This window comes from Homo sapiens, chromosome 2 (assembly GCF_000001405.40).
Source record: "Homo sapiens chromosome 2, GRCh38.p14 Primary Assembly".
In the NCBI taxonomy this organism is placed as follows: domain Eukaryota; kingdom Metazoa; phylum Chordata; class Mammalia; order Primates; family Hominidae; genus Homo; species Homo sapiens.
In genome coordinates, this window is record NC_000002.12 from 165,895,059 (window position 1) to 165,912,337 (window position 17,279).

General features: G+C 35.4%; 1 protein-coding gene across 6 annotated transcripts in view, besides 1 other annotated feature; it reads right to left on the reverse strand.

Moving 5' to 3' along the window:
• TTC21B (tetratricopeptide repeat domain 21B) overlaps positions 1-17,279 on the reverse strand; it is an 80,415-nt gene that overhangs the window by 21,697 nt on the left and 41,439 nt on the right. For 5 of the 6 annotated variants that reach the window (NM_024753.5, XM_047445870.1, XM_011511871.4 and 2 more), the window contains 5 exons: positions 16,269-16,407; positions 12,620-12,726; positions 6,664-6,852; positions 4,712-4,822; positions 3,628-3,709 (listed from right to left, as the gene is read on the reverse strand). In NM_024753.5, coding sequence (NP_079029.3) covers positions 3,628-3,709; positions 4,712-4,822; positions 6,664-6,852; positions 12,620-12,726; positions 16,269-16,407 — 628 coding nt within the window. Of the gene's footprint in view, positions 1-3,627; positions 3,710-4,711; positions 4,854-6,663; positions 6,853-12,619; positions 12,727-16,268; positions 16,408-17,279 lie in introns of those variants that run through there. The other variant, XM_011511872.3, reaches the window with a different exon arrangement.
• Positions 2,966-3,055: an enhancer, noted in NCBI's record as "active region_16729". NCBI's record gives its function as "activates an Ori minimal core promoter by ATAC-STARR-seq in GM12878 lymphoblastoid cells {active_cell/tissue: GM12878}" and the evidence as "EXISTENCE:reporter gene assay evidence [ECO:0000049][PMID:35858748]".

Here is a 17,279-nt window from a genome sequence, read left to right on the forward strand (position 1 = left end):
GGTGGTGGTAGTGGGATGCAGATTTACTTTTTTATTTTCCCCCAAGAGGGATATATTTTAGATTATGTGTTTGGAAAGAGAAAAGGGATAAGGAAGCTAAAGTTCATTTTAGGCAAAAGGAAAAAACCCAAGCAAAGACTTGGAAGCATGGTTGTATGTCATTTGGTGTTGCTGGAGTACAAGATCCTTATATTGCATTTATAAAAAATTGCTTTTATATTTGTTTACAAACAGTCCAAAGCAGCCAGTCTACTAAGCCAATTTTTTTGGGAAAAAGGCTGCTGCCAAGCAACAGAAACTTACGTGAAACAAAACCCACAAGACACATGAAGACTTCTTCAAATCTTAGAAAACTATAATGTGTGAGATTCTTCAAATCTTAGAAAACTATAATACTTTTAATGACTTAAAATATTCACAGTGGAAGAAGTCTGTTTTTTAAAGAAATAAAGTTAGATCATTGTCTCAAAGGGAAAGACTGTGAAATGGGAACAGCTTGAGATAGAATGAATATATTATGTATATTACTTTTAAATGGTAGTTTAGAGAAGAGGAATAAGAGAAAACAGTGTGGAACACAAGGTAGAAATGGCAGGGAAAAAAACGATACAGGCCTGAAGAAAATAAAAGTAGGTTTGGGCAATGTGGGTGGCAAGATGAGCCCATATTTTGGACCCAGAGTGAGTGGAAGAGGTGAGATGGTCAAGTAGTTCACAGCATTCTTTTAAATAACATCTGAGTATACTCTGGAATAGACAGGGCAAAAAACAAATGAAATTGCCTGTGGTAGTCCCCATATTAAATAAATTTAATTTATTTAATTAAAAAACTCAAAGAGTAAAAATAATAAAGAGAAAGTGTTGATATTACTGTAAAAAACAGACCATATTTTCTCCTTTCAATTTTTGTGCTCGCTGGGGATATTTTATTTTTAAATACAAACTGATGTTCTCTAAATTCAAACATCTTTTTATTAAAAGCGTTACTAGAGGTAGCCTGCAGAGCATATCTAGTTCTTTGAGTTGCCCTGCTTGAAGGATTGCCACCTCTGTGTCTCTGAGGCTCTGAGCACAGATGCCTAGGGCATCAGCCTGAGATGAAGGTGGTGGGGTTTAGAAGAACTGAAACACAGCTCTAGGACTTCCTCTGCCATTTCAAACTCTTTTTAGTAACACAGGTAGTAACATACAGTCATGTATTAGTCAAACAGTTCCCACCTCTTTCTTTTTCTCTTTCCTCTCCTCCCTCCATCCCTGCTTCCCTTTCTTCCTTTTCTCCCTCACTCTTCTTTCCATCTAGTATTTGTTGAGTACTAACTAGGCCAGATATTCTTCTAAATTCTGGAAACACAGCAGTGAAGGACAACGTTTCTGGTCACTTGATGCTTCCATTCTATGATTTGTAGTTTTTTGCTTTTGTTTCACAAGGGCTACACAAAACCCAAAAATCCTAAAGCCAAACCCCAAAAACTCAACTGAACAGAAAACAGGATAAAGGGACAGAGAGCAAGAAGTGGTGCTACTTGATGTAGGCCAGTGAGGGAGGGGCATTCTAAGGAAGAAGCAGCACCAGAGCAAAGGCACAAAAGAAAATGAGGCAGCAGCCAGATAGACCTGTGGGAGCAGCATATTCCGGGAAGTAGAAACAGCAAACAAAAAGGCTCAAGGCTGTAATTGGCTTGGGCTTTTGCCTACCTAGTTTCTGTTGTCCCTTTCTTCTTTACTATCAGAATTCTGATTTTATTCTACAGGGTATTAGATTCAGCTAAAAGATAACATTTCCCACCTTCTTTTGCAGCCACGGAGGTGATACTACTAAGGGTTTTTTTGTTTGTTTGTTTGTTTTGTTTTTAATAAAACGATGATTTGCTGGTTGGGAAGCCCTTTTGCCCAGCTCTGCACCCACCTTCCCCACCTGGGCCCTGGAACATCAATGCCCAGCACTGCGGTGGTCATCTTGAACCATGAGGTGATGCTCAGGCAAGTCAGGGTAACAACGTAGAACAAAAAGAGAGAAGGCTCTGGTTTCCTGATGATACTGTGGAACCGCCACACCAGTCCCTACACAGTGTACTTTTCATTTCTTTTACAGAGAGAAAACTAAAAACCGTGATTTTTAGCCTAGAATTTTCAGGGGTATCTCTGCCATTTTCAATGAAAGTATTTCTAAATTCTTCATAGGCTAGGGATGGAAACACAGATGAGTTATGACGACGCTGCAATAATCTATGTGGAAGATGGCAATGCCTTAGACCAGGGTGGCACTAACAGAGGTGGTAAAAAGTGATGGCATTCTAGGTATACTTTGAATGTAGCACTAACAAGGATTTGCTGATAGACTGGAGGTGATATATGAGAGAAAGATGAGACAAAGGTTAACTGTGAGGTCTGGGCCGGCACAACAGTGAGCAGTGATGCCAGTCACTGAGGTGAGAGGTGGGGGTGGAGCAAACTTAGAGGCGAGGGAAAGTTCAGGTGTTCTATTTTGGACATGTTAAGCTTGAGTTACTCCTAGACATCTGAGTGGGAATGCAAAGAGGCAGAGGTGTACATGAGTAAGGGCTGCAGATAAATGTTTAGGACACATCTGCACATACATGGGATATAAAGCCACGCACCTGGACAAAGTCACCTAGGGGGTGAATATATAAAAAGAAAGGGAGTTCAGGAACTGAAGCTACGAGTGTTCTAATATTTAAACGTCATACAGAGAAGAGAACTCCAAAAAAGGAAACTCAAACAGCAGGCAATGGGGCAAAAGAAGAACTGAGTGAGTTTAGGATCTCAGAGACAAATGAAGAAAGTCTTTCATTGTGGAAGGGAATAAACTGTGCCAAATATGATGACAGGTCAAGTCGGCAGAGAACTGAGAACTGAATCTGACCTGGCAGTATGGGGGTCACCGACCACATTGCAGAAGTGACTTCCCTAGGGTGCAGCAGTGGATGAGACAAAGTGAACACAGCATGTTTGAAAATCCTTCACAGAAAATTTGTTGTCGAGAAGAACTGAGGAAGGGCATAGTAATTGGGAGGGGATGAGAGTTAAGAGTTGATTTTTATTGACTGATTTATTTACAGCAGGAAGATGTCACAGCACAGTTCCATGCTGATTAGAAAAAAAATGATAATTCAAGAGAGAGAACTGTAAGAGTGAAGCCCTTTTTTAGGTGAGAAGCTGGCCACAGGCGGGATCACAGGCCTGGGGAGGACAAAGGCTGAGGGGTGGGTAAATTTGGTGACAAAGAATGGAGAAGTTCTCTTCCAGGTACAAATATTCTCTTAGTGAAGTAGGTGGCAAGGCTTTTAACTGTGGGCAAGAAATGGGGCAAGGGTGATGGAGGTTTGAGGAGACAGGAGAAAGTGGGAAAAGTAGTTCGAATCAATGAATTCATTTTTGGAATACAGTAGGATTACCAGGTTTGTGCTCATAATTTAAAGTGAGACCAGTCAACAGTGTTGCAATTTCCTTATAGCCATTTCAGCTACTCAAGCCCATGTGTGGAATAAACAGACAGTCTGATTCAACTAGGGACGGAGTTTGCCCGAGGGCATAACCACTAAACAGAAGAAAAAAGGAGAAAGGGAGGGGTGACTGCACTCAAAAAATACAATAAGTAGGTATTTACCTGGCTTACGTTCTAAAAGCTGCTGTAAATGAAACACTGCTTGTTCATAGTCTTGTTTTCTGAACATGAGATCAGCCATCATCTATAAAGATAAAAGTTGGTTCTAAAAATATTGCCATGTATTTTACACAACATGTTCTTCCAATCAAGATTTAGCACTAGAAAAATATAGATGATAAACATGAGGAGGGGGCAGCATTTTATAAAAAGGAGGCATTTAAGATTCAAGCCCACCTTGTGCAGAATAACTTGCAGATCAGTGTAACAGAAGATAATCAAGGATGTGAAACAGATTGCTCTGCTTGCAAAATTGTATTTTTAGCAAAAAATATGTTTCTAGCAATTGTTTTAAAAACAGAAATTTGAAAGGAATTGCACACTCTATGTGCTGTTGTAGAAAAGATACTCACTGGACCTGACTAAAATAATAATGAGACGATTCAAAAATGAAACAAAATTTAAATCATAACTATTTTGAAAAATTAAAAATGAGCAAGACCTACTGACATTTTTCTTATTATGTGTTTAAAAATGCAGATTTCATATATTTCTTTTTAACCACAATAACCTTAAATAAACCTCACAAAATGTCATCTGTGTAGCTGTCTGCAAAGCTAACAAATATTTTAGCCCACGTAAAAATAAGAAAAAATAAAAAACTCTATTCAAAACAGACTGTCTTAGACTGATAATATGAAGTTGTTTTTTTTCCCCTGTAACTCCAAAAATTCCACCCAAACTCTTAAATTTGTCCAGCATTCCTAAGTACTTAAAAGTTAGTTCTTAGCAAATTATAGTGTTACCACATGAACTCCACCTGACCAAGCATCCCCTTAGGCATAAATAAAAAATAACTAGACCCAAAAGGGCATGTAAAAGCCTGACCTAGGTTTATCTTTCTTATAAATAAAATCCTAATGATTCTGGGTCTTTATTGGTAAAATGTAGTAATGTTAGAAAAATGTTATTTCTTCCAAAAGCCAACGTGAGCCATGCCTCATCATCTAGTAGTAGTTCCATGGGGTAAAATTTAAAACTTATAAAACACAAGTGCTTTTATTGTACTGAAGTTCCTTGGACTGACCATGGTAGCAGCTTCGTTATCCTGGTCACTCTGAAGCAGTAGAGCACACTGCCGCAGGCAGGAATCAGGGTCATCTTGTGCCAGGTATAATCGTGCCAGTTCCAACATAATCTGTAGAGCAAAGGGCTAGATTCATCAGACACTGTATAGAATAAAAAGTCAATGAGGAAAATACGTGGGTACAGATTAAACTTTAGTTGACCAAAAGTCATTGCAATAAAATGCCAAGTATAATAGACAAAAAAAAAAAAAAAACAACAGTATGTATACCCATCTCTATTTTCTCTTACACTAGAAAAAAAAAAAACAGAGAAACAGGTAGTAACTCACTTCAAAAGTAGAGAGACATAATGCATTGTGAAAAGAACACTGGTCTTAAAACCATGAGACTGGATTATAGTCCCATAACGGGGCCAAGTCAGGTCCCTTCTACCTCCCTTAACCTGCTTTCTCATTTGTAAAATAAAAAGCTTCAAGCAGATAATCTCTAAGGTATGCCTCAGATTTAAAAGTAGGATTCCAACTCCTTTAGCCACCACTGAAAAAGGTATCTGTTTGGTTATGCCTTGCTAAAGGTTGTTTTTGCCGTTTATCTGAAAAAATTATATTAATAAAAATGTTCAAACTAGTTATTAAATTCTAGAGGATAGTTGTCTTTTGTACATGATCACTTACTTAAGTGTTTAGCCATTAATTATTTTCAGAAATTAATAATCTCTCCAAATCCTCTCAGATCTTGACAGAGTAAAAACTTTTTATATAATCAGTCATGTATGTAAATGTGCTACACCAAAATTATCTTTACATTTATTCTCCCACTGTGCTATATGAGGTCATAGATTGAGCCTAGCCATTTTTGCATCCTTAGTACTAAACACCAATTGAAATACAGAGTGTACAACAGCTGTTTAGTAAAAGGAACTGAATTATCTAAATCCAGGTATTTGTGATTGAGAAATTATTTTAAATTATTTTAAAATTAATTTTTGATAAACTAAATTGATACAATAAATTTGAAAATTATTTAAATTATTTTGATAATTAAAAACATAAATATTAAAACAATTTGCAGGTTGCTTTATATTACGTGTTCCATTATAGTTTTTAAATAATTGTAATGTTCTTTTTTCTTTTCTTTTTTTTTTTTTTTGAGACAGGGTATTGCTTTGTTACCCAGGCTGTAGTACAGTGGCATCATCATGGTTAACTGCAGCCTTGACCTTCTGGGCTCAGGTGATCCTCCTGCCTCAGCACCCCAAGGAGCTGGGACTACAGGTATATGCCACCATGCCTGGCTAATTTTAGTATTTTTTAGTAGACTGGGGTTTACCCATGCTGCCTAGGCTGGTCTTGAACTTCTGGACTCAAGTGATCTGCCTGCCTTGGCCTCTCAAAGTGCTGGGATTACAGGCATGAGCCATTGCATCCAGCCTTAAACTCTAATATTCTTAATGTAAGGCATCATGTAAGATTTTGAAAGTTTTTGAGGAATAATATTAATCTTTTAACTTGTATTTTTGTTACATTTCTTTTAAAATCTTGTTTCTATTTTTTTATTTTATTTTTTGAGATGGAGTCCCGCTCTGTTGCCCAGGCTGGAGTGCAGTGGCGCGATCTTGGGTCACTGCAACCTCTCCGCCTCCCAGGTTCAAGCGATTCTCCTGCCTTAGCCTCCCAAGTAGCTGGGATTACAGGAGGCGCCCCCCACCACGCTGGCTAATTTTTGTATTTTCAGTAAAGACAAGGTTTCCCCATGTTGGTCAGGCTGGTCTCAAACTCCTGACCTCAGATGATCCACATGCCTTGGCCTCCCAAAGGGCTGGGATTATAGGCATCAGCCACTGCACCCTGCCTACATCTTCTTTTAAAATAAGCTGGTAAAAATTTTACATCTGAGGAAATTAGAAGACATCTGGAATAAAAGGTATTTAAAATTTTATAAAGGTACTGACCTTATTATCTGTTTCGCAGTGAACCAGAGCCTCTCTATAAAACTTAATTGCTTTTTCATAGTCTCGCTGAGCAACAGAATGTTTTGCAATCTCTGCACAAATTTCAGCTGCTAAATGTTTCTGTGCAGGAACTGCATCTGGCTGTTCCATCTGAACACGTTTTAGTACCCGAGCTTGTAATTCTCGAGCCTAGAAAAAATCAGTATAAAAGGGAATAAAAAAAAAAAAGGAAATTAAATTCTCCGTAACTCACACACAGCATAATTTTACAGATTTATTTAAACATTATGAACCCTTGATCTAACAAAGTCTGATCCAAAGAAAATGTCTTATTGAGATCTCAAGCATGCACTTATTTGCAAATGAGCCAGCACACATATATCTTTCCAACAAAACACTTATGGAATTACTGAGTCTTTTCCCACTGTTACAACATGTGTATAGGAAGTTCACTAAGGAGGAAATACAACCGTGAAACAAATACAAAGAGGTGGGGCCTTCCTCAGAGTAAGAATGTAGAGTAGATTGTTATATTGGAAGAATATCAGCCTTTCCACCCATCCATCTGGTTTCTGGAACATTGAGATCTTCCTTTAATAAATGGTAAGAACTCACACGTTTTAGGTCTTCAAAAATAAAATTTATGTTTTAGCTACACATAATGATTCACTAGTGAATGCATTCATTTAACAAATAGTAAATGCCTACCACATGCAATATATTATGCTACACACAAGGCACCCTTCTGGGGAGTCTTGTCAAAATGTTAGCTAACAATTGCTTTGAAACAGGTTTTCTTTTTTTTTTCTCAAGCCAGAGGTTTAGACAGTCATAACAGCATTCTTTTGCAAATGAAAGAAAAATATAAGTATATAGCATGTGGTTAACATTAATACTGTCTCATGAAATTTTTATTTTGGTTATATTAATATGTGTTTCAGTATGTCAGTATATGTACCTTTATGTGTTTTAGATTATACACATGCATACATCTGTTCATGTTTTTGCATAGCTATACACATATATACACATTCATGCATGTGCTCCTAGTAAAAAACCTGAAAACAATTGGTTTAGATAGAATGATCTCTGTCTTGCAGGAAGGCATCCTTGCATCCCTGAATTCTTGTACCTCTACACATCAAGATGTTGTCCTCTGACATCACTTAGCCATTAGGAAAGTAGAAAGCAGGGAAAGACCCTGGGGCCCATCCCTAGCACCTCAGGGGTAAGGGTACCATCCCAAGGACACAAGTTTCCAGGCAGCAGCCTCCAAGAATTTTGTTAGAGATGTCCCATCACTTATGGCCCTACACTGTTTTACATCTGGACTCTGGATTGCAAGTGTAAGGAAGAAAGTGAAAATGAAAGAGAAAGTGGAACAAATATTGGCAACAGAGCCCCCAGAGGACAGTTGTCCCTTTTCCAACAAGTTAAGTGGAAAATGCTGTTGCCATGGGAGTACATAATAGAAAATCTAACTCAGTCTTGGAAGTCAGGTAAGAATTAAAGAATGGTTAGTAGTTACACCCTGGTGAGTTGGGGAAAAACAGATGGGATGAAGAGATGGAATGGCTCATAGGCATTAGGAATCACATGTGAAGGAAAGAGAATGAGGGATACACTGCCTGATCAAATAATTAGAAGAAAAAATGGCTGGAAAGATATAGAGAATATACAACAGGTAAGCCTGTTAAATAATCTACATTTTATCCTAGAGCCCATGGGAAGCTACTATGCCATGTTTATAGGCATTGGCATGACAGGATCAGGTTGCCTTTGGGAACCATCACCCTGGTGTCACTGTGAAGAACTGACTAGAGGGAAATGAGACTGGGATCAATCAGGAGGCTACTTCAGGACCGTAAGCAAGAAATAACGATGGAGTCAGCTAAAAGATGACAGAGAGGGCTACGGAAATGCGGAGTTATTGGAAAAGTCTGAAATGTTTAGAAAGCAAAATTCCTAAGACTTGAGATTTCCCTAAATTTACCATTTCCGTCATTGCCAAAAATGTTTAGCAACTTTGCAAAAACACTATGACAGAACCCCTAAGTTACATAATGTGGAGAATTAAGCTCAATAAATGGTTGCTGAATAAATGAACAGAAAATATCAAAAACTTTGACTCCACTTATAGGTTTCTGTTTGAATTGCATCTTAAGATTTGTCTCTTTGTCATTCAGAATATACAGCATGTCATTAGTGGGAAGAATGTTATAATTCTTCAAACCTTATTAAAGATGAATAATCCCTGGGATCTAACATATAAACTCAAAATTGATTATAGTTTGGGGTGCTGGCATTGTCTAGCCATGGCATGCTGTTTTTTGATGTTGCTTCATATGTCTGCTTTTATAACACAGAGGCTCATGGGACCATGGTGACTGGGACTAATGATATTCATAAAGGAGTGAACTAAGCTAAATTTATTTCTAAAATGTTTTAAAAGTCACCTTTACCAAAGATTACACTTTCCTTGTAGCTTCTGGTAACTAACCTATGGCTGGGTGCAATTCTCTATCATGTGATTCAGAAAATAAGAGCTAAAATGTACCAATAATTAAGGATAAGATATTAATATTGTTTAAGATTACATATTTTAATGATATCATAAACTTAGATAGATATCACAGAAATCTAATAATCCAAGCTCAATTCATTCACAATTAGAACAAAAAAATTTTGGGACTGTCTACTGAAACTTGGGTATGCACGCACATGCATGCACACACACGTGCACACACACATACACACACCCCTGTCAGTTAAATCTCAAAACCAAAACACTACAAATTAATTGCAGAATGCAGAACTCTTCTGGGTACACAGGAATCTAGTCAAAAGGTGACTAGTATAGTATCCTGGAAAGCACAAAGGGTTAGGACTGAGGCATCTGCATTCCACTTCAAACTCTTCTAGTAACCAGCTGTATAATCTTGGACAAACACTCTCTGTGGGAAAATAAGCACAGTAATACATAAACTGTTTGCTTACCTCACAGACCTGTTGCTTCCAACATATCACAGGGGCTTACAGACACAGAATAAACAGAATGAGATAAAAATAATGGGGGTCCTTTTTAAAAAATATAAAGTATTAAGAAGGTAAGTGATGATTTCACTTTTATATCCAGAAACTAGACAACTGCAAAACAAACCAATATTATGGATCCTATCTGGGGAACAGTAAAGTGCCTCCAGGGAACTTGGGAAGTAAGATCATCCCTCTCAGAAGTAAGCTGCAAAATCAACACATAATAGATAGGGCAGATAGGCAAAATCGCTTAAATGAGAGGGAGAACCTAGAAGATTTCTCTAAAAATCTTCCAGTGTCTGATACTGAAATAAAATATATCACATTGTGTTCCCTATAAACAAAGTTTCAAACAACTAATTTAAAATGCATGACAACAATAATAGAAAAGGCAAAGATAGAATAATAGAATTTGGATAAGAAGAAATGTGTGTTGTAGCTAACACCGAAAAATAATAAAAGGAGGTATAAATAACACAATAGAGGGGAAAGTGGAATAAGAATAATTTAACTCAGATAAAAGTCAAGAAAATTTAGAAAAAAACAGATTGTAAGATGGCAAATCCAAATGCAAATATAATTCATAACTATATTAAATGTTAAAAAAACTATAATAGATTTAGATTGTCAAGAAAAAAATTGTATGCTGACAGATCTTAAACATAAGGACACGTAAAATTGAAAGTAAAAGAATGCAGGAGATATACCATGCAAGTACTAAAAGGAAACTGGAGTTAGCTATAATAACACAAGACAAAGGAGATTTTAAAGCAAGAAGCATTACTAGAAATGAAGAAGGCCATTTTATTATTTTAAATAACTTAATTCACCAGGAAGATATTGTAATTCTAAATCTGGATCATTCAATAATGTATCTTCTAAATAAATGAAGCAAAAATACATAGAACTAAATGGAAAAAAAAGAAATCCACAATTACACTGAAAGACTTTAACACCCCTCTCATACAAATAGACCAAAACCAAGCAAACAAATAACGACCAAACACTAAGAACAGGGAAGATGTACAGAAATCAGTCAACAAACCTGACCTAATTGACATACGGTTGAACTAAGTATTTATTAGGTTGGTGCAAAAGTAATTGTGGTTACAGTAATGTTAGAAACACATTATTTCAAGTCCACATGGAACCTTTACCAAAACTGATTATAATGTAGGATGTAAAGCAAGCTTCAACAAATTGCAAAGGATTGAATCATTCAAAGTATGTCTTGGCACAGCAGAAGTGTACTAGAAGTCAGTATCAAAAAGATAACAAGCAAATCAGAACTCCATAAAAATTCAATGTTACACTTTTAAATAACCCACCGGTCCAAGAAGCAATCAAAGTGAAAATGAGGAAATGTTTTACACTAAATAATAATAAACTTGTGGAATGCTGATAAACCAGTGTTGAGAGAGAAATTTACTGCTTCAAATGAATAGGAAAATAACAAAAGCTCGAAATCCATTACCTAACATACTATTTCAAGAGGCTAAAAAAAAAAAAAAAAAAAAAAAAAAATTAGTAAACCAAACCCAAAGAGTGTAGAAGAAATTAATTATGAGGTTAAAACATTTAATGAAGCCAGAAAAGGCAAAAGTTGACCCTTTGAAAATATTAATAAGATAACCCCTAGCATAACTGATTATTAAAGAAGAAAAAATTACTAATATCAGGTTTGTAAAAGGGACCTTTTTCACTGCATTTGTAGACATTCAAAAGAAAAGATATAATAAACAAGTTTATGTTAATAAATTTAACAATAAACTGAGTACTTAAAAAATTCCAAATTGATATAAGAAACAATTTGAAAATGATCAGTCTGAAATCTATTAAAAACTTTCCTTCAAAGAGGTCTCAAGGCCTGCAACAATGAATTATTCCAAACATCAAAGAATTAGCAGCCGGGTGCGGTGGCTCACGCCTGTAATCCCAGCACGTTGGAAGGCCGTGGCAGGGGGAATCACCTGAGGTCAGGAGTTTGAGACCAGCCTGACCAACATGGTGAAACCCTGTCTCTGCTAAAAATACTAAAAATACAAAAATTAGCTGGGCATGGTGGTGAGCATCTGTAATCCCAGCAACTCAGGAGGCTGAGACAACAGAATCGCTTCAACCTGGGAGGCAGAGGTTGCAGTGAGCTGAGATCATGCCATTACACTCCAGCCTGGGCAACAAGAGCAAAACTCCGTCTCAAAAAAAAAAAAAAAAAAAAAAGAAAAAAAGAATTAGCATCAATTTGTTGAACACAGATGCAGAAATCCTGAACAAAATATTATAAAACATCTTTAAATTCCAGCAATATCTTTTTAAAAATTATATCAAAGTGACATTTATTTCAGAGATATAAGGTGTTTTAACATTTGAAAATAAGTCAATTTAATATACCACATTTGAAAAGGAAAACAGGAGGAAAGACATATGATCATCTTGATAGATGCAGATAGTATATTTGATAATAATTCAAGTCACTTATAAAGAAGTTGTTAGCAAATCAGAAACTGAATCATCATTAAAAAAACATCAACCACTTGGGAACATACCTAAGGAAATCTGTGTAAAACCTCTACACTGAGAACCACAAAATATTAAGAGAAAAAAGAAGATCTAAATAAATGGAGGAAGAAAGCACTAAGTTCAAATCCTGATGACACTATTCATATGACTTCACACAAGTTAATCAAGTCTCCTCAGCTATAAAATGGGATTAAAAAATTCCAACCTTCCCAAATTGTTATAATAGTAGTAATAGTATATTTAAAATGTATAATTCATAAGCATTCAATAAGTATTTTGATTTTGACATATTTTCTGTAGCTGTTTGGCCAAAAGAGATTGCTTTCCTCTTATACATGGCATATTTCCTTCTGCATCCATCTCCTACCTCATGACCACACTCACAGACAAATGTGTTTACCTGTTGTAATGCAGTGATCGCATCACCAAGTTTTTCCATTTTACTATAAACTTTTGCTAGAAGAACTTGACAACGTCCATCCTCCATGAGAGCTGACAGTTCATTTACTATGAAAGAATGGAATGTAATGCAAAAAATTATTCATCTTAAATAAATGTTTATATTTTTCCAGAATTTTTAAAACTGGTCTCTAGAAAAAATGATTTTGAAAAATAGTGAATACGGTTAAAATTTTCTCAATCAGTTGCCTGAAGAATGGCCAAATTAAAAAAAAAAAGAAAAGATTTAGGATAAAAACTGGCTGGATGAAAAGTTAAAGAACGGGTTAACAACTAGAGGCTTTTCTTAGACATATATTAGGAGATAACAATTTAACACCACAATAATTTCCATTTTTATTCTTAAGTGTATAAAAATTTGTTTACTGAAGTCATTAGAAGATAGAGTAGTTGCTATATGCAATTAAGAAGATAACTGCTCTTTTAAAAATCATAGATATTTGATAAGCAATAAAGTACAGTTGTTAAGAGCACTGACTTTGATGTTGAATGGTCTGGTTTCAAATCTAGGCTTTACCACTTACTAGCCCTCTAATTTTGAGCAAGGTACTTAACCATTCTGCAGTTCCCTCTCATCTGTAAAATAGGAAAAATGATAGTAACTACCTCACAGGGTGGATGCAAGATTTTAATAGCTAATAAGTTACTAAATAAGTTAAAATATGCAAAGTAGTGAAAACAAACTCTGGTACGTGGTAAGTTCTATATAAATATTTGGTTAATGCCAAATGTTTTGTGTCTAAGAACAATAAAAGAACCCTAGATAATTAACAAAAATGTTTCCTCCACCATTTGTCAAGTGCACAGTTCATGACACGCCATGCCACTTTACCAACTAGGTAGTCCTGGACACATCAATAAAACTGAGTTTCAGATTGCTAAATTTAAAATGGGTATGATTATATTTGCCTCAAAGATTAATATGAGTCCTGATGAGATAATGTATGAAACGTATATGAAGGCATCTAAGTATGTCATGGGTATGCTCAGCAAATATTAAATGAAAGCATTTATGTTACATAAATATAATATACCCATTGTAACTAAAACATATGATACTTGAATCTCTCTCCCCCTACAAACTTTTCAAAATGTATATCCACATTTAGGCCTTTCAAGTGTTTCAAAAGAAGATCTGACAAATCCATGCATATATTTTTATGGAACTACTAACACTTCATACAATAAATACATTTATAATTAGAAGAATTTAAGCACCAATGTCATTAAAGCTAAACCAAAAGATCATTTTGAAAATATCAGAAAACTTACAATGGGCTTCTCTCATCATGTGTTCAAATGTATTTTAAAGCTACACTAAACATGTTGTTGGCAAAAGAAAAGAAACATACACAATGGAATAAAACAAAGATTCCTATAATCAGAGCAATGTATATGAAGGAGTTTATTATAAAATAAAGGAGCCAGTTCCATAAATGGCATGAAAATAAAATTGGCTATCCATTTTGGAAACTATATAGTAAAACTTGTATGTGGAATAAAGTACATGGATTAAAGTTCTCAATATAAAAATGAAAACAATATAAATGACAAAAATATATGGAAATAGTTTCATAACGTTAGGATTAGGGAAGGTCTTTTAGAGAGTGACAAGAAATTCAGAAGCCAAAAAAAGACATGAAAAGCAGATATATGATCATTAAATATTCTACTTGATCAAAGATACAATAAACAAATCTGATGAAGAAAAGACAGCCCGGGAGAAAATATCTACAACATGAACATTAGGTAAAGGATTAAAGACAAAGAATATAAATTAAAAATTCCTAGAAGAAAATAAGATATATAAACAAAATAATACCTAACCTTATCACTCATCAAAGAAATGTAAATTAAAATGTTTATTTTTCATGACTAACACGACATAATGTCAGGAAGTTTTTAGCCTTAAGAAAGAACAATGGGGCAAGATTCAATTCTAGGAAGTACAGAGAGGTATATGTATATAAACAAGGACTTTATCTCAGTACTGCTTCCAACTATTTCCCAAGCTAAATGTCTATTCCAATATGAGACTCATCAAATCAATTATGATATTAAGATACAGTGGAATACTCTACATATGCTAAAAAATAAAGAAGAGCTATATTTCTAACAAGGAAAGAAGTTATTAAATGAAAAATGCATACTGCAGAATTATAGGTGTACTATAATCCATTTAGATAGTAAAAAGTGGTAGGTATAATAATTGTGTATATATGAGAGGCAAAGATGGGGGCAGGGAGACTGAATATCATGATATACAAGTTGTTAAATATGGTTTTCTCTGGAGAGCGGGAGAGGACACAACTTTTATTCACTTCTGTAATCTTTAAATTCTGGCAATGGGCAACCACTAGATTTTATTTAAAAATAAAGATCTTAGGCCAGGCGCGGTGGCTCACGCCTGTAATCCCAGCACTTTGGGAGGCCGAGGCAGGCAGATCACAAGGTCAGGAGATCGAGACTGTCCTGGCTAACATGGTGAAAACTCGTCTCTACTAAAAATACAAAAAATTAGCCGGGCGTGGTGGCAGGGGCCTGTAGTCCCAGCTACTAGGGAGGCTGAGGCAGGAGAATGGTGTGAGCCCGGGCAGCAGAGCTTGCAGTGAGCTGAGATCGTGCCATTGCACTCCAGCCTGGGCAACAGAGTGAGACTCTGTCTCAAAAAAAAAAAGATCTTAAAAAAGTAAATTTTTACAAACTTGAAAGAAGGTAATTTGATAGTACCCAAACAAATTTTACATGCACAAAATCTCCAGCTCAGCACCCTACTCTAAGAAATATATGCAAATGTACACTAAGGAATGATACAGTGATATTCATTGGAACATGGATTATAATATCAAAATAATGGAAAGCAAACTAAACATCCAATAATTTCAAGAAAATTAAGTAATTTATTGGTGTTATGGAACATTATGATGCCTGTAGATAGAATAATATGAATAAAATTTCCTAGAAGAAAATAAGATATATAAACAAAATAATACCTAACTTTATCACTCATCAAAGAAATGCAAATTAAATGCATGATGTACTGACATCAAACTATCTGGGACACGTATGTGGAAAAAATTGCAGAAAAGGAAGAGTAACAGTTTCGCACAGGAAAATCACATTACACTTATATATACACACACATATATAGAATATATATTAAATTACAAGCTACTAGGGAGGTAATTTGAGAACAAGGCAAATGGAATTCATAGGAGAAACAGATGACTTATGCATTATATTCTTTTATAGAGCTTGAATTTTAAAAAAGAAGCATGCTACTTTTTAAAAAAGATTACAAAAATGCTAATGTGTTTAAATATGAGATAGCTGTAATTTAAAGATAACTATATTATTTTGGAAAGTAAGCTATATTTCTATAACACAATTAACTGTTTCATAAATCTGCTACTAGATTTCAAAATATCACATTTTAGTAGAGTGGCATTCTGATAAAAGAAAAAATACGCATGTATTTATATAACCAACCACAAATAAAATATTGAGAATACAAATACATATTTATGCAATATAAAAATAAAATGGATCAGAGTTATCAGACTTTTTTCAAACCAGAAAGACTTTCATACCAGGTTCATGAGCCAGAGCATGCTGAAGAACTTTTTCTGCTTTGTCATACCATTTCAATTTTAATAAGAGCTCAGCCAGGTCATAGCAAAGATAATTCTTTTGTCCAGTTTTCAGAGCAGCTTCATAGTAAGTGATTGCCTAAACAAAATTCATTCCATTTAAGGGAACAAGGCAATGAGAATGGCATTCAAGCAGAGCTATTTAATACATTACAGACTTAAAGCATTGGTATAACTAGAAATAACCAGGAAGAATTGTAGGCATACACCTGCCTGTCAATTAAGTATGTCATACTTCTCAGAGAATAGATCATCACATGAAACAACTAATATATATATATATTTTTTTTTTTTGAGTCACAGTCTCACTCCATCACCCAGGCTGGAGTGCAGTGATGCAATCTCAGCTCACTGCAACCTCTGCCTTCCAAGTTCAAGCAATTCTCCTGCCTCAGCCTCCCAAGTAGCTGGGATTACAGGAGCCCACCACCATGCCCAGCTAATTTTTTGTATTTTTTCGTAGAGATGGGGTTTCACCATGTTGGCCAGGCTGGTTTCAAACTCCTGAACTCAATTGATCCACCCGTCTTGGCCTCCCAAAGTGTTAGGATTACAGGCGTGAGCCACCACACCTGGCCAACAACTAACATTTCTTATGATAAGTAGATAAAGAACGGTACTTGGCAAAGAATATTTTTTACAGGTTTTATGAGGCCAGTGAACCTTATCAAAGGCATACATTTTGCTAGCTGTTGTACATATGGTCAACAATTACCAGGAATAGGGCAAGAATATAACAGTTCAAGAAAAATCTGTTTCCCTTACTGGAAAAAAAAATGAACTCAAAACACATAGCTTGCAAAAATTGGTGCAACAGAAAGAACATTTATCATGTTTTGTTACACAATGAAAGAGGTGTAAGAATAGCAACTTTATGGTAATTGATTTGGTAGCAAGGATTCTAGCTGCAAGATGAAGCAAGGTCTAGGGTCCAAATAATCACCACGAAAT